Consider the following 23,299-nt stretch of genomic DNA (forward strand, 5'->3'; position numbering starts at 1 on the left):
ACAGCTAAAGACATGCAGCCTAGCAAGTATTTTTCTTCTTACAGACTGTATACACCATGTTCTCAGAGGTTTTCAATAAGCTGCAAGAATTCTTGGTTGTTCAATGAAATCTTACTCTTCTTTCTCCTAATTGTAATGTTGCAATCATATCCTGTCACATCCCATCAGTTGCCAAAACAAATGTTTCCTTTTTGTAATGCCTCTCGGATCCCTCCCTGTTCCTCTGTTCGCAGTCTGGGGATAGTGGCTTGCTGGGGCTGGTACCAGGAAAACAGTGAGTAAATATCAAATTGAGCCTGGAGGACAAATGCAGAATTTGGAACCAGAGCCAAGGTTAGTTACTGAGCATGAGGGTGGTTGACCAAGTGGTAGCTGAGTCTGGGGGGCTGGTGAGTAGAAGATACAAGAATGATGGACCCTCATGCAGGATCCGGTGGAAAAATGAGAGAGAAGGAACCAGGGACCCAGGGAGAAAACAGGGAAGGCAATTTAACCCTGCAAATAGCTTTTTAGTTGACTGCTTTGAAAAGAATTAGTATGCTACTCCTTAGCTGGGTTTTAGGGGCATATTTTTCCTGAAGATTTTCCGTTCCAGTTAAGACTCTTGTGGTAAATAAAAAAATATGTCCCTCAGATCTGTGAAAGTCATCTCTGAAAGTGGGATCTAGGCATTAAATTAAAAAAAAAATTGTCCCAGGTGATTTATAGTTGCTAGAACTAACCACTGCTGTAGCCCCTTACCTCTACCCCATCACACATCTGTCCTTTACGCTGCTTCTAGATAAATCTAAGTCTGATTCTTCAATGTCTCTCCATTTCTTTCTGAATCTGACCAGGTTCCTTGGTCTTGGTCTGTTGTTGGAGATGCTTCACATCGTGGGCCCAGCCCCCATTCCTGGTCTTGGCTTCTGTAGTTTGCTTGCATTTCTCTTACTGGTTCACTTGCTGGTTTTCCTGGGATATCTTTTGACACAGTTGGGTATAGACTGGTTACCTTCTACAGGTCAAAGTCCCTTCAAGGGGCAGGTCTATGGGTAGGTGCCAGAAGGAAATCCCAACCAGCAGGCGGAACAGAGTGTCTGGGGGGTGTGAGAGCAGGCACAAATGAAGTCCAGTGCAGGCATTGAAGATGTCCTGCAGAGCAGAGGCAGGAATGTCCTAAGACTCAAGCAGACAGGAAGATCCTAAGCCAGACAGGTCCCACCCATGGCTTGTGGTCCAGGGAGCAGAGCCCTAGAAGGACTGACCATCAAACCTGGTTGGGCAACAAAAACAAGATAGAATGCCAGTTCCTGCTCCTCCTACTCCATCTCTGGTTTTAATATTATAATTACCACCAGAAATCTGCCATTCATCCCCCTCTCCCAAGGCAACAGGATCTGCCCAGGAAGTATAGCAGCAGCCCAGGGCTCATAAGTGGAGCTGGAACAGTCCTTGGTTTCTGGACCCTTGAAGGTCAGAGTCCTGGAGACCCTGGCAGGAAGGCCAAGCCACCTGCCCAGCATGCTCTTCTTCCACTGTCCTGGCAACCTCGAGCATTGGCCTGGCTCCTAATTTCCTGCAGCTCACAACCTCATTCTCTGGACTCCCTAGGGTGGCCTGCCTCTGTGTCCACCCCTCCCATATACCATGCTCTGCTCGTCTGAAGTCTTATCCCAGGATTGGTCACTGACAGATTGCCTCTTGGCTCCTGCCACCAGCTTGGAATTGAGTAGGATTAGCTATGCCCCTCCCGCCCCATCTGGACTAGATTTACACTTGGGGGCCCCTTGCCAAGACCATGTCTCTGCTCCTGCTTCATCTGTGTTTGGCCAATTCCAGGGTTTTCTTCCTTGGTTCAGACCCCAAACAACTCCCTCCCCGACCTTACACGCTTTGCATCTGGCCTCATCTAACTCCCTATTAGGAGATAACACTGAGAAGAACCACTTAAAATCAGACTATAGATAAAGGTTGGTTGACATAGTAAGATGTTTGTGTTGGTGCTAAGTGGAAAAAGCAGATTGCAAGATAGTTTGTATTTGTATGTGTTCATTCCAAGTATATACGCGCGCAAAAACGGTCTGGAAAGATACTCAGTGATACGTTAAGAGTGCTTGTCTCTGGGGTCTGGAATTATGGAAGTATTTTGCTTTTCTTCATTTTGCTTATTTATATTATCTAATTATTCCACAGTAAATAAGTATTGCTTTTTTAAATAAGGAAAACAACTTTTAAAAGTTGTTTTTACAAACACACAATGTAACATAGCTCTTGGGATCCTGGTTCTCAGAAACAAGGCAGAGATCCAACTGAGGGCACTGGCCCGAGAGAGGAGTCAGATTTAGCAGCTAGAGGCTGCAGCTGAGTCCCAACGTGTTGGGCGCCAAATCTCGAGGGCAGGGAAAGGCGGAACTTAAGACTGCACTGAAAACAGCTTGCCTGGGTTTGCATTCCAGCCTGCCACTTAATAGCTGTGCAACCTTGGGTAAGTTGCTTAGCCTCTCTATGTCTTGTTTTTCTGAACTGAAAATGAGATAAGACTATTTTATGGATAATCTCATAGGAATATTCTGAGGACTAAATGGATCATATCATGTAACAAGCACTTAAGTGGTGCCTGGTACACAGTAAGTGCTCAAGCAGTGTTAGTTATTATAGGGAAGAAGGCAGGCAGGCCCTAGTAGAGAACACACCTGGCCCTGTAACACCCTTAGCCCCAGCTCCTTTGGGTTTCTCCTTTCTATATCCCGGAAGCCCACTTTTTTTTTTCTTTTTTAGAAGAAATGAGATCTCACTATGTTGACCAGGCTGGTATCAAACTCCTGGGCTCAAGTGATCCTCCCGCGTTGGCCTCCCAAAGCCCTGGGATTACAGGCATGAGCCACTGTGCCTGGCCCAGAGCCCACCCATTCTTTCAATTCCACCTCAAATGCTACATCCTTCCCTCAAACCTCTCTTCGTTAAGCCTCCAACCAGGAGAGGTCTCACTTTCCTCCTAATCCATCTGTCACTCTGCACCACTTCCCCAGCCCTGAATGTACCCGGCCTTCTCTGCCAGGTGTTGGTGTACCTGTTTTATTCCCCCTTTGGAGCTGTACATGGGGGACTGTATCATGCCTGACATGCTGTGGTACACATTAAGCACTTGAGCTGAATTGCATAGTTTGAACATGACCCATTTGCCTTACAAAAATCCTACCGAAATCTCCACCCAGGCACCTGCAGATTGCTGAGATTTACTGCTTCAAAGGAATTATATTTACTTTATTACTTCACAGATGAAAGATGAATTGCACACTTAGAATTATGATCTTTGGCACAAGTAAAGGCTCAGCATGGCAAAGAATTCCACCCTTCACACCTTTGTTATTTGCCTTGTGGGTTATAAATAAGATTGTAGGTTGTTTGAATAAACCAATATCTGGCCACAAACTAGCAAATGTCTGTTACAGCATCTAAATGTGGAACAGTGATGGCATCTCATTCTTGGCCAATTTTAATGCAAGGAGCTGTGCAAAGCTGTGCTGTTGGCCTGTAGTCAGCAGCATTATATTTGGAGAAGGAAAATGCTAAATTTGCTAGAGTTTTGTTTTATATTTACCTCCTACATGTCTTGGCAAATAAACTATAAATCGTTTGTTATTCTCCATCTAGATCATACTTCCCTTTCAAATGTTTTTGTATTACATTTGCCAGAGAGCCACAGAATCTTAATTGTAGTACTGCATCAAAATCTGTCAGTGAGAAGTGGTTAAAGTATTGAGCACCTATTCACACAAAGCTATATGTTAGCCACATACATTGAAGTGACATATCTGAAAACGAGAGTTCAATGTCATGCCCCTAACACATTTTATCTGGGTTAAACAGCACTCTGCGTCACCTCCTGTCTGAAACACATTGTTAGTTTATTAGCAGAAGCTATTGTTGCCCTGGGCCTAGAATAGGTGCTCAATAAATGCTTATTGATTGATTGCCTTGGGACATTTTTTTAAATGTCACTTTTCGAAAGGCAATGAATGGACTGTGCAGAAATAGTATCTGCACATAAGGAGCCTGCAGTTTTAATGGGACAAAGAATTTCTGAACACAGGCTAAAGAAGAGGGAGTATGTTAAGTAGGTAATGAACAGTAAAACATGATGGAGGGTAGTGCAGGGCTTTGGGACATCATGTCCTTTCAGTGTCCTGTGTGGAAGGGTCAAGCCCTGCTTCTTTAAGGCATTTCTGAGCAGGAGGATGTTGGGGTGATGTGGAGGTGGTGGGGACGTGGAGGTGGTGGGAATGTGTCTGCCTGGACTCTGATCCTGGAGTCTTTGTTTATCTGGAAGCATTCCTGCTTTTCTTTTTGGCTCTCAGGACTTCCTCTGCACATGCAGGAGAGAGTTAAGCATAGATGGATGGGTAGATGTCTGCTGAGTTTGAAAACAAACCCTTGAAACTGGGATGCCATGTGGGTCAGCATGTGCAAAGTCCTTGGGAATGAAAATCTATTATTTATTCATTCAGAAAGCTTTTAGCTTTCAATATAATTTCTAGAATACAATAGACTTCATTTTGAACCATTTGAAGAGAAATATTATTATTACTAGTATTGTACTGGGGATGAGGTGGAGAGAGTAATAGATCAATGTTCTTCTAAATTTCAGATCTTAAAGACTTGATTCTAGGGAAAGGAAGAGAGGAGAAAGGGCGAACAGATGGTGGGAAGAGGGGACAATGATAAACAGCATAGCTTTCTGGTGCCTGGTGCCCTTATTGCCTTCACAGGGTGTAGAGAACAGATCCATTCTCATGGCCACGTGTCTGTAGCCATAAGTTCTATGGAACCTGCCTCAAGGTTCTCTTTCAAAATCCCGGAATTTCAGAAAGATTGTGGGGCACCGATAGTTTCCCCAGCCTCACTAAGCTTGACCTCTTCTGGTTTCCATTGGCAATCGAGTGGAAAACTGCTTTTAGCAAGGCTTCACTGCAATAATCAATATGTCATTAGCTGTAGCCATATTTAAACCTACAAGAACCGATTTCTAAGATCCAAGCAATTGCTATTGACATATAGGCTCGTTCCTTAAAAAAATCCTTAAAAAATAATGACTCTAGATCTGGGGGTGGATGGATGGATGGAGGCTTTGTGGCCATGCATGCTTGTATGTAACTGCCCTGTTCCACTAACATTATAATTTGAGAGGCACAGGAAGAATTCACAAAAATTCTAACAAGATTTGGGAATGAAATCCTTACAGGAGCATCTAGGAATGGTTTTTCCAGACAATTTAGTTTTCAAGAGGGTGAGAGAAAGGAGTCAGTGATATTAAGAGTGGATACAACCATACAAGGTGAATTTAAGCTCTTGATTTTCTTTACAAACTGGGAGTGAATCATCATTGTTTTTTACTCACTCTTCATCCTTCTTGGCTTCTCAAAAGGAACCCTTATCTAAGTACATAAGATGCATAGTAAGATGGAAGGCCCAAATCGGTTTTATACCAAGAGTATGGAATGTTGATGGGCCAGCAAATGTGCTTCTTTTCAGCACAGCATCTCCTCCAGCTATCCTGCACAAACATGGGGTCAGTGCTGCTGCTCAGAGGGAATGGGAGCCGCCAGGATGCCCGCTAGTATTATCAAAAGAGTTAAGTGAATCGCAAATCTCATCAAAACCCAAGAGTGACTACTAAGAATAGAAACGAAGTTAAGATCTCATTAGTTGTACCATGTCTAATGTGATGTCACGATACAGGTAGTTTTTTCACCATCTATAGAAGAATCACAGTAAGAATCTGGCATTGTTTCCCTGGTGCTGTATTGGTCAGAGTAAACAAGCATCCCGAGTCTGTTTGGTGAAGTCGGCTACCATGAGGACTGCAGGACTCCACGTCAAGTGATCTGACAAGGTCTCTTAAAGCTGTCAAGGTGAAGACCACACTGTGGCCTGGCGGTTCCCACCATACTGTGGACATTCCAGAAAGCTACACGTGCTCTGCCTGTTTTTCTGACTGTTCCCTTTCTCAAGGGCACTCTGGACAGGCACAGAGTCCACCCAGTGTATGCTAAGCAGCATATCTTCTACTGACAAATGTCAATAACAGAAGGACATTTTTTGAGGCACGATCAGCCAGCTAAAAAGAGTCGTGATTGTCAGGAACAGGAGAAACCATGCTGAAGGCACTGGGCATGGCTTGCTCAGAGCATCGTGTTGTTCTTTGCCCCTCCACTCTCCACCCCTGGGATAAATGGGATCGACATGGGAAACCAGAGGCAACCCAGGACTTTGTTAGGAGCTCTGCTGCTGTTTGCTTTCTGCTGATTTTCTTTCACTCCCTTCCACTGTAGTAGCAAAATTGGAGTTTTCCTCAGAGCTCTGGCTTTGTGCTTCAAGATTATTTTGGGATACAGTATGTAATTTTCATTGTCTCTTTTTATCATTTTAATATTCTTTCATGGATTTTCAGAATGCTTAGATTTATTTTCTTTAAAATTGTTTTCCCTTGTAATGTTATTTCTTTTCAATTTCATTTTAACTTTTGACTTGTTAGTCTCCATAATGCCTTCTGGCTTTATATTTTTAATTTTGATTGCAGTAACTTTACCTTTTAATTCCTCGTTCTCTGTATTTTATCCTTTCTACTTTTATGGTTTAATTTTTTACTTTTCTAGATTTAAAAAAAATCTATTTTAGTCTAAATTGTATTTATCCTATCTCTGTTTATTTATGTATTTATGTATTTAATTTTTTTAGAGACATGGCTTCACACTGTTTCAAAGGCTAGAGGGCAGTGGTGTTATCATAGCTTACTGCAACCTTGAATTCCTGGGCTCAAGTATCCCCTTGCCTCAGCCTCCTGAGTAACTGGGACTACAGGTGCATCACCACATGCAGTTACTTTTTAAAATTTTTTGTAGAAACAGGGTCTCACTCTGTTGCCCAAGTTCGTCTCAAATTCCTGACCCCAAGATATCCTCCTGCCTTGGCCTCCCAAAGTGCTGAGATTACGGACATAAGCCACTGCACCCAGCCTCTATTTTATTTTTAAACATGTTTTGGCTTTCAGTCTTAATGTGGTTTAATAAATTATCTTACTTAAAATGTTTATTGATGTTTTAAAAACACTATTAATTGTATTAGATTTATTTTCCTCTTGAATGACTACCCTTCCTTTCACTCTTTTGCTTCTTTTCTTTAAAATTTATTCACTTTGTGACATAATCTTAGGGGTCATACATAATTTAGGATTTTAGTTTTGGGATCACAAAGACAAGGCAGGAAAACACAAATATGCGATTTGGGTCAGATATAGGGCCATAGGGTACCGGCACCCACAGCAGCCTGTTGTGCCTGGAAGATTCAAATGAAGCAAAAACGCTTGAAGCAAATATCTCAGATAAAAGCAGGTGTTAATAGTGATTGTTTCTGAGTTGGATTATCATTTTTGTTTGTTTGTTTCTGCTCTTCTGTCTTTTCAAAGTCTTTTACAATTATATTGCTTTTGCAATAATGAGAAAAAACGTAAAAACAAAAATAAAAGTAAAAACAGACTGGGTGCGGTGGCTCACGCCTGCAAATCCCAGTTCTTTGGGAGGCCGAGGTGGGTGGATCACCTGAGGACCTGGTCAGGTCAGGTCAAGACCAGCCTGGCCACCATGGTGAAACCCCGTCTCTACTAAAAATACAAAAATTAGGCTGGGTGGGGTGGCGGGTGCCTATAATCCCAGCTACTTGGGAAGCTGAGGCAGGAAAATGGCTTGAACCCGGGAGGCGGAGGTTGTGGTGAGCCGAGATCGCGGCACTGCACTCCAGCCTGGGCAACAGAGCAAGACTCCATCTCAAAATAAAATAAAATAAAAAGTAAAAACAAACAACAACAAAAATTGTGCTTGCCAAAAATAAACCACATCTGTGACTGATTTGGCCCGCTGGCTCCAGCGTGTGACCTTAACTCATTTTCACAAGGGCAGGAGAGAAGCCCACATTGCAAAGAGGTGAAGCTGAGGCCATGCTCCCTATACTTCACCTTCAGCCACCCTTACCCTCTTCATCAAGCTCATGCTTTTCAAGGACAGATCTCCCCAGATCTCTACTTACCATGTCTGAAGCCTCCTATCTGCAAAGTGACTTACCAGTGAAACTGAAGGAGCACTTACTGCATTCCAGGGGCCATTACTTCTTCTAAGCACCTAGATTCGTTTTATTTAATAGATATCATGGTGGTTGGTTTTTTTTTTTCCCCTGAGTTGGCAGCTAGGAAGCTCAAAACAAAACAGGTGATCTGTCTTTAACTATTATTCATAATTTCAACCTTATTTCACAAATATCCAACCCACATTTGTTCTTTGTTTGAATTCCTAATTTGTAACCCTGTTTTATTGAATATATTTGATGAGATACCTTAAATCTGTGCAATAATATAGGGTATAAATAAATTGACTGACAAAATTAATATGGTCTGCCTCAGTTTACCCCTTCAGTCTAATTTCTGTATAACTCCACACTTTTCTCCTACCCCATCAACACACACACACACACACACACACACACACACACCCATCATATACATCCTTTTCCTGGGGCTATCTATCCAGAATTAGTAGTGAGCCATACCTGAGTTCACACATTGTCCTTAATACCTTTGCATTTGGTATCAACTCTGTCTAGAGTTGGCTCTTTGCTTGGCCTTACTGATTCCTTCTCATATTTGAGGTGTGAACTGCAAATGTTCTCCTTGAGAAGACTTCTTCAATCAGTTTTCCTCTCTTCTGACTTTCTGCTGAAGATACTTCTCCCGGCTCTTGTAGAACCTTCTAGAATAGTGTATATTTGAACTGTAATAGTCTGTTTGCTTCTCTTGATCTTCTCCACTGAATCGCAAGTTCCTTGGTGGCTGAGACTCTTTATTTTTTGAACATCTCCATTAAGTGCAAATAAAATGCTCCCTGGACACTTGTCCACATTGAAATGAGTAAGAAAATATCAAACAGAAACCAGTGAGAACATTTTAGGGGCATGGGCCTGTTGGGTGAGTTAATACATCCTAGGTAGATTTTGACTGAGTCATCTAATCATGCATTAATGTCAATGAATGACATTGCCTAAAATGACTTGGTTTCCCTTGCAGAGCAAGGTTTTGCTCTATTAATATCTGCCAGGGTCAATCATTTGGGTTAGTACAGATTGACCTTATTTTAAGTTTTGTAGAGAGACAGAGTTCTGGTTTTCGGATTCTCATAGGCAAACCTCTGCACAGATATATCTTTGACCATGGCATTTCTATGTTTTCATTTATACAGCACCTGATAAATTTCCTTAGCATTCAGCATAAAACTCCAGATGTTTTCCTTCAAATTTACTTTTTCTCCAGACTACCCTGTCTGTAATAACATCCTCCTTTTCCTTCCCAGAAGCTTGAAACCTTGAAATAATCTCTGACATTTTAATCTCCTTCTCTTCTTACTTTCCGAAGGTCAATGATCAACTCCCCTGGGTCCTATCCCTGAGACATGTCCCACACTGCTCTTTTCTTTCCCTTCTCTTTGCCGCTTTCTCAGTTGAAGCCTTAATTATATCTGCCACTTATTTGAGAACTTTATAACTCATCTCCTTGCCTCCTTTCTCCTCTCCAACGCACTATTCATGCATGACAGAAATCTTCACAAAGTACACAGAAGCTCTGCATTTGCTTCTTTTCCCCAGAGAGCTGAGCCCAACCCAAGGCCGTAACACACTTTGGTGAACTGATTAAACTGCCTTCAGTGGCTCCTTGTGGTCTATGCAATCACGCCAGAATTTCCTAGCAAGATATTCATGACCCTACAGAGTGAAGTCCTAGCCTCTTCTTCCAGCTTCTCTGCAACTTTCTCCAGCATTCCCCCAACTCACCAGCTTCTCCCCAACTGTACCATTTCCAGCCCTGCAGTGCCCTTCTCCAGCTGTCTCTACTTGTCAAAATGACAACTACCCTTTGAGGTTCTACTTAAATGTCACCTCTTCTATGCTTCTACTTGATTAGATGTATCTTCCCTCTCTCTGATACGCTGGTGGAATTTAATTTACCATCTACTTCTCCCCTAGATCTCACTACATTTTATTTTTCTTTCTTTCTTTCTTTGTTTTTTTTTTTTAGATGGAGTCTTGCTTTGTTGCCAGGCTGGAGTGCTGTGGCGTGATCTCGGCTCACTGCAACCTCCGACTCCCTGGTTCAAGTAATTCTCCTGCCTCAGCCTCCCAGGTAGCTGGGATTACAGAGACGCACCACCACGCCCAGCTAATTTTTGTACTTATAGTAGAGACAGAGTTTCACCATGTTGGCCAGGATGGTCTCGATCTCCTGACCTCATGATCCACCCGCCTCAGCCTCCCAAAGTGTGTGGATTACAGGCGTGAGCCACTGCGCCTAGCCAATCCCACTACATTTTTTTCTTGACTCATGAGTATTGCTTTTGACTACCTGCCTGGGTTTGCCTTTCCATGCTGTGGGGTTCTCCTTAATGGCAGCAAGAAACATTGTACTTAGCTTGGCTTCAACCAGGGCATCTTACGACTTGTCTCTCTTTTTATTAATAAAGCTTCATTATCTTTATTAATAAAGATTATGGGTATTGAGCGTTAGTGGACCTAACATGGGGATCACAACGTTGAGTAAAACACAACAGTCCTTTCTACAAAGAATGACCCAGACTGGGAACTAAGGCAACCTTAGGAAGTGTTCTTGGATTTGTAAAAATAAAAACCCTCTGCGACTCCAGGCAAGTCATTTAACTTCTGGTGCCTTAGATGACTCATCTGTCAAATATCCTTTCTTCAAGGGCTTTCCTAAGAAAAAATAAAATTTTAAAAACACCTAAATCTGTTAAGATCTTTAAATTTTATAGGAAAAGCCATTGCATAAATAACCCACATGGATTTGGGCTTAGAATGTTTGAACCAGCAAAAACCCCAGTGCCTGATGGTTGAGGAGAATGTTTGATAATGAAGGCAAGTCTTTCAGGTAGCATCACTCTGGGAGTTATTTTCTTCCTGCCAAAAGCCCGGGTGGCTTATATAACTCCACCTCACCACAGCACAGAGATAAAAGCCAATCTTAGGCAACTGCAGCAGGTAATTTTGCAGAGTATGCTTTGCAAGAGAGTGTTGTACATTTCTTTTAGGAGCAAATTAGGAACAGTAATACCCAAGCAATAAATGAAGACAATAACTGAATTTGGAGCAATAGCTATTCAATTTTTGTAATAATATGAAAACAAGGTACACATGGATCTGAAAGCATGATAGGTCCCAGACAAGGATGAACAAACTGGGGGAGGGTCTATATGCTACATCAGACTGCAGGGTTTGATTTTTTTAAAATTCCTTATTGGAAAACATAGACTTATCCTATACCTTATTTACTGTTTGTTCAAATAAGTGCAGTGCATTTTAGTTCCCCTCATAAGCTTTGGTTCAGTCATTTCCAGATAACTCCCTTCGTTGTTTGTAAAGTCTGGCTTAAAATAAATTTCCTTCAGGTGCTGAAGGGAACAGATCTTATACACCAACAAGTGCAGTTCAAAGAGGGAGGGATGAAGAAGAGGAATAATTAAAACTCACTGAACATTGGCAATTATTCAACTATTTTACTCTCATTTTATATAAGGGAAATGGGGGCTCAGAGATATTTAGTTACTTTCCTAAGTAAGCCATTGACTGGGAATTTAATCCTGATTAGTTTAATTCAAGAGCTCATGGTCTTTATATGCCATCCCCCTTCCTCCCAAGGTTCTGGGGTCCAAGGTAAGTGGACAATAAGTGGTGTCTAATTAAGGCCTGTGCATATCTTGCTGTAACACATTCAGCAGCCAGGTAACTTCAGATCCAGGCACCCTCCCCTTCCCCACCCCAGCAAGGCCAGGATTGTGTGTCTATTGGATGAGAGCCAGGAGAAACTGATCAGTGTCTGGTGGGGAAGTGGGGGCAATGTGGGAGTAGGCAGCCTGCATGGGCCAATGTGCCTGGAGTGACACAATTGTCACTGGGGACACCTTCAATCTTCCTAACGCTGTCCCCATCAGCTTCATGTCTGATGTGGTTTGGCTCTATGTCCCCACCCAAATCTGATGTTGAATTGTAATCCCCACATATCAGAGGAGGGACCTGGTGGCAGGTGATTGGATCGTGGGGGCAGATTTCTCCCTTGCTGTTCTCATGATAGTGAGTGTGTTCTCATGAGATCTGATGGTTTAAAAGTGTGTGGCACTTTTCCCTTCTTTCTCTCTCTACTGCTCTGCCATGGTAAGACATGCTTGCTTCCCCTTTGCCTTCTGCCATGATTCTAAGTTTCCTGAGGCCTCTCAGCCATGCTTCCTGTTAAGCGTGCAGAACTGAGTCAATTAAACCTCTCTTCTTCATGAATTACTGAGTCTCAGGTAGTTCTTTATAGCAGCATGAGAACGAACTAATACAGTGGCTTCATGGGGGATGGAAGCCTGTTCTCCGCATGCTCACCATGGGAATATCTAAGTCTGATGCCTTGGAGCCCTCTGTCTTTAAGTGCTATTTAGATTGCTTGGATATTAGTAGTTCCAATGACATCATGAAAACTCATTCAACAAATATTAGCTCTATGCCTAGTAAGTGTTAGGCACTAGGGATTCAAAATGAATAAGAACTAGTCTCTGGCCTCAAATAATTCCCTGTCTGGTGGGGGACAATGAATTAACCGTGGCAATAAAGCCATGTGAAGGAGTGCAAGGAGAGTACAGAGGCTGGTGTAGGTAACTGTGCCCAGGAAGGCTCCAGAGAGGTGAATTTGAGCTGCGTTGTGAAAGTTGAGCTTCCCAGGTGAGGAAGGGCAGGAGGGGTATTCAGACAGAAAGCCCAGGGCATGTAGGGCGAATGCTAGTGGTGCAGGATGCTTCAGGAAATCTGGTAGCTGGATTATTTTTAAGGGCTTTATTTGACTTATCCTGTAGACAGTGGGAGACTCTGACGGTTTTTGAGCAGCATAGAGATGCTATCAGATCTACATTTTAAAAATTGCTCATAAAATAGCGTGAAGACACAGTGAAGGAAAAACCAAGGGAAATGTGTTAGAAATATTGTCACAGCACAAAAAGGGATGGTGGTGAACTCAGCTTGGGTTGTGGGAATGGGAAAGGAGAGGCAGGGATAGATTTGAGGGAAGTATTGGCCATGTGCTTCTCAGAATATTGTGCACACATTACTCTGCTGTTTCACTTAGCAAGAATAGCAACTTCTAGGGCTCTCCATGTTCATTGGAAAAACAGCTTGTCTGTGAAAATATCAGTGAGTCTTGGCTGGGTTACCTTGGGGGAAAAAGACAATTTCTCTGGGCCTTATCTATAAAATGGGCAACAGACCACATATCCAATAGATGTTATGAAGGTTAAATACAACAAATACAGCATACTGCACATAGAGCATTCTCAACAAATGTTTGTTATTTTTACCTTCTCATAATTTTCCTCACCTCAAAATAAAGTTAATATCAATATACTGCCTTGCTCTGATGAGATAATTGGGTTAATATTAAAATTTAAGATATAGCCATGTTTCCAGCAAATATTTTATTCTTTGAGACGTAGATATGGATATGTATGTATTTATTTCACTCTATGTCAAGATGAAAATAAATACTATCCTTCAGAAGAAAGCTCGGGTAAGTGAAGTATGTTTATAAAGATTTATATATGGAGCTAAATTAATTCTTGAGAACTGAGGTATTTGTAGTCATTATTTTACTTCATTCTGAGAACAAGTACAAATGAGCATGTCAAAAATGACAGTTATTATGCTTTTAAAATTTGATTTCTTACATATTCTAATTATATTCTTTTAATTAGTAACCACTCTTTGTTCTTTCTCTTCCGCAAAGTGAGATTGAACTCAGTTCCTAATGCAAAGCAGTTTGTAATTTTTATGTAAGATGACATGTTATTAAGTAAAAAGAATGACAATTGTTTTTCCACTAAAGACTTAGTGATGACAAAAGAGAATTAAGCAAATCACTGAGGGAATACCTAATTTATTAAGTGTCTTGAGAAAGTCACTGTGTCATCACTATCAGATTCAAATTAAGAGGATGCCTAAGCTGCCTACATTTTGACTTTAGAAATATATCCAAGATTTTGACCAGGCAAAGAACAAAGATGGCACAATTCAAGAGGTTTTAAAAATAGTTGTGAAGCATATTCTTATTAGGAATATGCTTGAGAGCTGTTCAGTTATCGTAATGCTAGACAGCTGCATCTCACTGCCCTGTGGGCCCCGGACTGGCTTCACTACACGCTGCATGCACGGGATTTCACAGAACACTGACAGTCACTTGCATCACCAGTATTCTCTTGACCACAATACCTTGTCACCAGTTTCCCTGCTGCTAGATTTTATTTTACTGTACTTCAGTATAATACCAGCATCGTATACCAGGTTGGTCAAATATTTACAGAGAAAAAGTTGGGAGGGGGTAGTAACGGAGTCTGGAGGAGTTACAGGTATCGAGTCTCCACGGTTCCATTTTATAGGCTATGCACGGCTCTGCTTGTACACTAGAATGATCCAGACATTTTTATTTTGGAGATATATGCTGAAGTATTTAAGGTAGAGTATCTTGGTGTTTGCAATTTGTCTACAAGTGGTTCAGCTAAAAAATAATGGAGAGGCCGGGCACGGTGGCTCACGCCTGTAATCCTAGCACTTTGGGAGGCCGAGGCGGGCGGATCATGAGGTCAGGAGATCGAGACCATCCTGGCTAACACAGTGAAACGCCGTCTCTAATAAAAATACAAAAAATTAGCCAGTTGTGGTGGCGGGCGCCTGTAGTCCCAGCTACTTGGGAGGCTGAGGCAGGAGAATGGTGTGAACCCAGGAGGCGGAGCTTGCAGTGAGCCGAGATCACGCCACTGCACTCCAGCCTGGGCGACAGAGCGAGACTCCATCTCAAAAAAAAAAAAAAATTATGGAGAGACAGAGAGAGAGACTGATGGAGCAAATGTGGCCTTGTGTAATTGGATAAAGGTATATGGGTGTTCCTTCTACCATTCTTTCAATTTTTCTTTACATTGGAAAAATTTTAATATAAAAAGTCAGGAAAACCTCCCCAAAACTTTTTCTTTTCTTTTCTTTTCCTTTCCTTTCCTTCCCTTCCTTCCTTCTTTCTCTTTCTTTCCTTCCTTCCTTCCTTCCTTCCTTCCTTCCTTCCTTCCTTCCTTCCTTCCTTCCTTCTTTCTTTCTTTCTTTCTTTCTTTCTTTCTTTCTTTCTTTCTTTCTTTGACAGAGTCTTACTCTGTCACACAGGCTGGATTGCAATGGTGTGAGCACAGCTCACTGCAGCCTCCAACTCCTAGGCTGAAGCGACACTCCTGCCTTAGCCTCCTTCTGAGTGGCTGGGACTACAGGCATATGCCACCACTCTTGGCTAATTCTTTTAGTTTTTGCAAAGATGGGAATCTCACTATATTGCCCAGGCTGGTCTCAAATTCCTGACCTCAAGCAAGTCTCCTGCCTTGGCCTCCGAAAGTGCTGGGATTACAGGTGTGAGCCACTGCACATAGCCCAAAAACTTCTTAAAAGGTACAATGATAAAGAACTTTTAAAAAAGATTTACCAATAGTTGAAGGACAATAGAATTTGTGACTGCAATAAAGGTCCATAAATACAGCAAAGGTGACCTTGCTTAAAAAATTTTAAGAAACGAAACTTTCTTTTTATTCTGTTAACTATGGTTCCTACTGCCTTTTCCAGAATGAATATACTTAGAATCATACAGTCTGTAGCCTTCTCAGACTGACTTTTCTCATTTAGCTATATGCATTTAAGTTTCCTCCATGTCTTTGTATGGCTTGATAGCTCATTTCTTTTTATCATGAAATAACATTCAATTGTATGGATGTACTGCAATTTGTTTATTCATTCACCTTGTGAGGGACATCTTTGATTCTTCCAGGGTCTCGTGATTATGAATAAACATTCGGGTACAAGTTTTTGTGTGGGCATGTTTTCAGCACAATTGGGTAAATACCTAGGAGTGTGATGGCTGGACTGAATTGTGAGACTATGCTTAGCTTTGTGAGAAACTGCCAGACTGTCTTCCAAAGTGGTCGTACCATTTTGCATTCCCATCGGCAATGGATGGGCATTCCTGTTGTTTTGTATCCTTGCCAGTATTTGGTATCCTTAGGTTTTTTGTTGTTGTTGCCGTTAGCTTTTTTATTTTAGCCATCCTAGTAGGTATGTCATAGTATTTCATTTTTGTTTTAATTTGCAATTCCTTAATGACACATGATATTGAGCATGTTTATTTGCCATCTGTGTATTGTCAACTCCACTTTAGGGAGGTGTCTGTTTAGATCTTTTGCTCACTTGAAAATTGGATTGTTTTTTAATTGACACCTGAGTGGCCTTTTTAAAAAAGTGGGTCTTATGAATAAATAGAGTGAGGGCTCAATCATGAATTCATTTATTCAGCAACTACATCAGGTACTGCCACTCTCATACCCAAGGTCTGCATTCCTCTTTTCCATTACTAACAAAACTCTAATATTCCTCCAGCCAATGCCCCAACTTTAAATACTTAGCATTTCAGACTCCTTTGCAGCTAAAGGTGGTCATGTGACATGTGGCTGGCCAATAAAATGCAAGCAGAAGGTGCTGGGTAAAGCTTCCCAGGAAGATGCAGACCCAACTGGGCATGCACCTCTTTGATCTTTTGCCCTTTACCCATCCCCCTACCATTTTCCTCAATGTGATGCAATGCTTACAAGGGAAGCAGGCATCCTGTGAGGATGAAGACAGAGATCACATGACAAGGATAGCAGAGACAATGGCTAGAAAGAGCCTGAGACACAACGACACCATAGAAGAGATATTACAGAAGCCCTGTGGCTGTCTCCAGGTTTCTGGTTTTGTGATAAGAAGCACTCCTATTTAGTAGGCACTTTTAGTCAAGATTCTGTTACAGGTCACCAATTCACTCCCTGATGCAGCAACATTTTATTAAGGATGAGGCACTTATTAGCGGTGGGCTCTAATCCTCTAACAAGACTGCTCTAAGCAGTTTTTATTTAAAGGACTGGTTCACACAAGACCATATTTGAAATAATTTATTTGTACCATGAACCACAACACTAGGAATAGAATCATATTTACCACATGCTCAGCACTGTACTAGGCATTATAAAAGGAGGAAAGAGGACTGTAAAATAAGGGCCTTATCCTCATGGAACTGATGATCTAATTAGAGAGGTAAGACTGACCTATATGAAACAAACCTGAACACTTTGGGATGATGTGTTTAAGGGCTAACAGTGAGTGCAAACTAAGTGTAGCAGCGGTTTATAAGGCTGGGGTCACCGAAGAGGGAAGCAGCCAGGGAAATATGATTAGCAACCTTGAAAACACTCTGGGTATCTATACTTTCATATTTTTGAGTTCTAAATTAATGACCTAAACATAGACATGGAAGCCATTCCCCTGGGTAAGTGAAGATGAAATGAAGGAAAGTCATTTTAATTTGAATGCCAATTTAGCTTTCAATTCAGCAGACATTTGTCACTCTAGTATCAATATTTAAAATACTGGGTCACTGTAATTATTCACCAAAATCCTGTTTACCTTGTTAATTACCAGCAATTTTTTAAAATGATGGCACTTTATGGAAACTGAATATACGTCATCTTTAAAAAGAGCTTTTAAAATCCCTCCTTTGGAAGTAATGCAGGTTAATAGATTAGACATTTTATGAAGAGGGCTGCATGATTTTTCTACTGCATTTCTGGTGTTGCAAACTTTGGTGAAATTATTAACTGCTATTCATTTTTTCCAACTTTTAGTTGTCTCTAGCTAGATGTTGATCATTATTACACATCTGTAAAGAAAAGAGCAAACCAACTTGAATTAGTGTTTCTTGAACTATTCATTAGAATTTAAAATTTTTTCCTAAAAGTTTTTCAATTTAGTGATCCTATTGGTAAATAAAAAGAATAAAGGCATGCAAATTAAAATAAAGGTAACATTTCTATTAGATGTTTTTAAACCCCTTTCCTTTGTGACCTAGCTTTTCTATCTTGGCTTTTCTATCTTTTCTTCTCTTCCTTTCCTTTCCTCCTTTCTTTTTCTTAAGTTTGTTTATGCCTCAGTCATCTGGTCGCACGTGGCTATGTTCCACTGTGGCAGGGCTTAGCTGGCAGTTTCAGGGATATCTTAGTTTTAATAAGTATTGTGGATTTCCTCACATCTAGGGTGGAGAGAGATTGGTTATAGGGTGATAAAAACAGAAGAATCTGTGTTGAAGGAGATGGGAAGATTTTAAGAATGCTAACGAATTTGAGCAGGGCATAAAACCAACCCATGAACAGGGCTACAGTCCTCTCAGGGTTGCCTGAAGCCTCAGCCCTGGAGGACGTCTGACACCTTACAGGTAGAGGACCTCTGTGCAGGAGCCCTCAACACCCAGGGAGGATTAGGATATAAGCGCAAACTCAAAGGTACTGTAATGGGCACCTAGCAATCAGAGGTGATACAAGGGTCTCTTGGCCCGAAGTATCCCCACCTCTCCTCGCTGGAAAGGACGCTGCCTAAGCCTCATCCCGAGCTGGGGGCGGAGGACCAAGGGTGAGAGCCACCGCCTCCGCAATCCCCCGCCCCTCGGCACCGTCGCTCAGCGCGCTCGCCGGCTCCCTATTGGCCGAGGCACTCGCCAATCCTGGTGAAGCGGCCCCGTGAGTTGGCCCTGGTTGGTGGAGCCGGCACTGAGCCCCCCTCCTGCTCCGGCCGAGCCCCCCCGCCGGGAGGGGGCGTGGCCGCGGCCGTGGACGGGCCGGAGGCGGCGTCGCTCGCGCCGCTGCGTGCGGTGTGGTGCGAGGCGGGTGCGCCGGGCGGCCGCGGCGCGGCGGGACCATGGAGCTCAGAGCGCAGCCCCGGCGCCGGCGGCGGGACCGCGGACCGGTGAGTGAGGGCTGCGGTCGCCCCGGCTCTCCGCTGTAGGCTGCTGTGGCCCTCTCGGCTCCGGGCCGGGCGGCTGTCGGGGGAGGGGCGGCCCCACGGCGAACTGAAGTTGCTGCATCGCCGCGCGCTCCGGCCGGGCGGCGGGGCCCACTGCGGGCTGCGGCGCCGCCTCGCGCCTATCCCTGCAGCCCGGCCGCATTCTCCCGGCCGGCTCCCGCGCTGGCAGGGGCTTCTCGCCGTCACGGCGCGGCCAGGCGGCCCTTCTCTCCCGCGCCTCCGGGCCTCCGGCCCTTTGCCGTCCGGTGCGCGCTCCCTGGACTCGGGACAGCCACCCGCCCTCCCCGCCGTAAGTGGCGCCCGGGCCTCCGCTCGCGCCCCACGCACGACGCCCCGGGCCGCTCCGCGTCCGGGACCTTCGCATCCGTTCAGTGTCTGCGCGCCCTCGCTGGTTCTGGTCCAGCTCCGCGTGCCCCCCGGCCCCATTCGGCCCTCGCCGCCCTGGCCTGTGCCCTCTTGGTGCCCGCGTGCGTGTTGGTTGCGGGCGTCCTCTCCCTCGAGGCTGCGGTGCCGCGTGGCTCCCGGCCTCGGAGACCAGGCCGGACTCTTGGAGTGCAGGGGAGGAGGTGGGGCGGCCCGCGAGTGCGGGGGACCGCGCGCACGGAGCCGCGGCGCGCGGGGTATCATCCCCGGGGGTCTTTACCCGCGCGCCTGGGCTTTAGCGAGGGCAGAAGCTTCCTCTCAGTTTGTGGTGCTGACGTGCAATGGCGATTGCTTCTTGATTTGGCCCCTCTGCAAGGGAGAGTTCCCTGGTGGAGACGAGAGTTCTTAATTATTCAGAAACTATGTGATGGGCTTAGGGATCAATGGGAGCATCATAGGAATTCTTTCTCATTTTAAGGTTAATTTTTAAATTAGCGGTTTACTTCCAGCAACAGTCTCGAGTTTTCAAAAACTGAAAATTAAAAAGACTACTTTTCGCAGTTCTTCAAATTAAATGCATAGCAGAACATGGTATTTTAAGATTCAGAGTCTACTTTTTATAAGGGGGAGAGGATAGCTATTTGAAATATTTTGCATCTTAAAAATTAGGTTTATCTAAAGCTTAAAATGCGACTCTATCAAAACTAAGTTCAAAGTATTGTAATTGACTAATCTTTCTATTGTCTCTAGGGCAAATTCTATTGCTTCTTTTTATATGTGCTTTACCCAACTCTCCTTTTCTAGCAGTTAAACAATGCAGTGGTTCTTTAAAGCTAGTTCTTTTATCTGCTTGAGAGGTTAAACAAACGAAAGCTGGGTTTGACCTTTCCCAAAGGCATTCTCATTGTGTCCTCTCCAGCTCCCTTCTCCCAGGGTTCTAATGACTTCAGTGTAGTACTCATTTTTCTTCATCTTGAAAGATTTTCTTAGTTGGTATTCACAAAAGCTGTGTCTTTTCACATGTTTAAATATTGGAAAGTTTGGTCAACTATTATATTTACCTTCCAACCTGTGCTTATTCTAGAACTATGTACATATAGAAATTGTTCTTGCATTTCCAGTTGGCTGACATGAAGTTGCTTAATAGCATTTGTTTTTAAAAAATCTGTTTGCTTTAAAATTTACAACCTAATAGTCAATGATGTGCTTCACTATCTTCAACAATTACGAAAACAAAGGTGGAACACACTTTGCTAAGTGGTCATGCCAACATTGTAACCTCCTATCTCTTGTCAGTGTGTCTTTGTAGTCACACGTTACGGTTCCCATAGAAACCTATGTATGGCAGGTAACCTTTTGGTTATTGGGATGTTTTGATTAAAACAATTGCGTTATAATGCAAGTATTAAATGAATTGTCCCTACTCACGGGCTAGTACTAGTGATCGTCTTTGGAATTCCAAGGACTTTCTTTGAAGAGTACTCCCAGATTGTTTTTCACTTTGGGTGGCTCTCCATTGCTGTAGACCTTGAATCTCTTTTTCTTTTCTTTTCTTTCTTTCTTTCTTTCTTTTTTTTTTTTTTTTTTTTTTTTTTGAGACGGAGTCTTGCTCTTGTCTCCCAGACTGGAGTGCAGTGGTGTGATCTCGGCTCACTGCAACCTCCGCCTCCTGGGTTCAAGCGATTCTCCTGCCTCAGACTCCCGAGTAGCTGGGAGTACAGGCGCCCGCCACCATGCCCGGCTAATTTTTGTACTTTTAGTAGAGATGCAGTTTCACCATGTTGGACAGATTGGTCTCGAACTCCTGACCTCAGGTTGATCCGCCCACCTCGGCCTCCCAAAATGCTGGGATTACAGGCGTGAGCCACCGCTCCCGGCCGAATCTCTCAACTTCTCTTCTCAGTCCGTTTTAAGGGCCCTGTTTCTTTCAAGTCAGGCTTTTTTTGGCTTTGCTCTTGGGCATGTGGAACTAAATGCTTCTGACAGCCCCACACATTCTTCTTCAGGGCTGGTTCTTTACCTGTGGCTTGACTTTATGCTGGTAATACAGAAATATTTTATGCCAGTAATACATAAATGATGTACATTATAAAATAAACAATATCAACACAGAGATTTATAGAGGTAAAAAGTCTTAAGTTTTCTTTTTCCCGTCTTATTGTTGTCCTATTCCTATTTCTTTCTTCAGAGGTAACCATAATATAGGGTGTATCCTTCTGGATTTTTTCCATTTAATACTGTAGATGAAATATATAACCCTGTATGTTAAAAAAACCATTTCATGAATGCCTACTAGGTACCAGGTACTATTTTAATCACTAGGGTTGCAAAAATAAGAGACAGACGCTTTCAAGATGTTCATAGTCTACCAGGACAAGCAATTACAGTGCAGTGTGATAAGTACCATGATAGAGTCAGTAATCAGTGAGGGATGTAGGAGCCTCATGCATGACCTAATCCATTCATTCATTTGCTTTATTCATTCAGTACACTTCAGAGTTTTAATATGTGCCGGGGATACAGAGATAAACAAGACAGATACCTCTGTCAGCCCCCGATGAGCTTGCTGTGCAGTTCAGTCTCAAAGAGTTTTAACCGTTGGTTACAATGTATTGTTTGATATGGGATCTGAAAGGGGCCAGCAACAAGAGCTCAGAGGAGGACCATAAACCCAAGCTTAGGGACGTTCAGAGAGACAGGAAAGCCTCCCAGAGGAAGCACCATGAGAAGGAATTGGTCGAAGTCTGGGTTGAGGAGAGGGTGTACAGAGAGATGGTCAGGGAGGTGATGCACTGGAGCAACCACAAACACCAGGAGTTCAGTCCAGTGGGGGTGGTTGTGGGCAAGGGCAGGGAAGTGGCAAGAAGTGAGGGAGGAGAAGTAAGGAGGGACTGTGCCTTGTGGGGTCTTGTGATTACTGTTGTGTGGAGTTCGGAGACCTCTGTGGGCAACAGGAAATGGTTGAAGAATTGTAAGCAAAAGAGGGACACGGTCAAATTTGCCCTTTGGAGAATGGATTAGAAGAGGGAAGGCTTGAAGCAGGGAAATTTGAGGAGGTAGAATTGCTGGGATTTGGTCATTGGCCGTGTGTGTGTATGTGGTGGGGGGAGTTGGGGCAGGGAGGAGTTCAGGGCAGTGTCCAGCTCTGGCTGGGTGGTTGGGTGATGGCACTGTCCTTAGGTGGGGACAGAGCAGCATCCATTTTGGGGAAAAGATTATGGGTCACACTTGGCTGGGTTAAGTTTCAGGTGCTGAGGGGACAGTGTGTTCAGTTGGCTGCACTAGGGATCCAGATAATCAGGAGTTGTCTGGATTAGAGAGACGCATGTGAGAGTTATTAGCTGTCCCAGACTGTCTCAAACAGTTTGAGAGTTTCCCAAACTATCAGCTAAGGTGCTACAGCAAACAGGGAGACTGGGGGATGTTTCACATTGTTGAGGAAAACACATAGTTCCGTCTCTTCAAGCCTGTGGAAACTACTAGCTCAAGATAGTTAAAAATGTCTAGATTAGATTGCACTCCATTCCATTCGATGACCTCATGTTTGTAAAGAAGGATTTTTGGTGGTTGCTGTAGCACGTGAAAATCAGTGTAGAAAAGGAAATGAGGGAGGCCATTGTCCAGTCTGACTCCAAGGTTTGAGAGAAATTGTGCAGTGCTCAACAAGTGTACACATACTGTATTAGTAAATACTTGTGGTTATCTAAGAATGAAATAAAAATGCCATTTTTTCTCTCTATTAAAGTGTACTTTTTTCAAGTTGGTACCAAGTTGTTAGGACATTAAGTACTTACGTTTTTAACATTTTCTTTGCTCAATAAGCATTTGTTTTGGCCTGAGACTCCAAGGGTGCGGTGAACAGAGAAAGTTTTGGAACTCCTGCCTTTGCCTGTGCAGTATTTGTTAATGGAAGCTGTTGGAGTAGATGAGGTCATTTGAGGAGTGTGTATAGAGTAAGAAAAGG

General features: G+C 43.2%; 1 protein-coding gene across 5 annotated transcripts in view, besides 2 other annotated features; it reads left to right on the forward strand.

The window, feature by feature from the left end:
- The first annotated feature begins 234 nt into the window (after window positions 1-234).
- Window positions 235-23,299, forward strand: part of WASF3 (WASP family member 3) — a 149,810-nt gene continuing 126,745 nt past the window's right edge. For 2 of the 5 annotated variants that reach the window (XM_047430060.1, XM_047430064.1), the window contains exon 1: window positions 18,779-19,261. The gene's annotated coding sequence lies outside the window, so the exon portion shown is untranslated. Of the gene's footprint in view, window positions 334-18,778; window positions 19,262-23,299 lie in introns of those variants that run through there. The other 3 variants (XM_024449315.2, NM_006646.6, NM_001291965.1) reach the window with 3 other exon arrangements.
- Window positions 18,353-18,412: a silencer, noted in NCBI's record as "silent region_5188". NCBI's record gives its function as "represses an Ori minimal core promoter by ATAC-STARR-seq in GM12878 lymphoblastoid cells {active_cell/tissue: GM12878}" and the evidence as "EXISTENCE:reporter gene assay evidence [ECO:0000049][PMID:35858748]".
- Window positions 18,673-18,882: a silencer, noted in NCBI's record as "silent region_5189". NCBI's record gives its function as "represses an Ori minimal core promoter by ATAC-STARR-seq in GM12878 lymphoblastoid cells {active_cell/tissue: GM12878}" and the evidence as "EXISTENCE:reporter gene assay evidence [ECO:0000049][PMID:35858748]".

Source organism: Homo sapiens, chromosome 13 (genome assembly GCF_000001405.40).
Source record: "Homo sapiens chromosome 13, GRCh38.p14 Primary Assembly".
Lineage (NCBI taxonomy): Eukaryota > Metazoa > Chordata > Mammalia > Primates > Hominidae > Homo > Homo sapiens.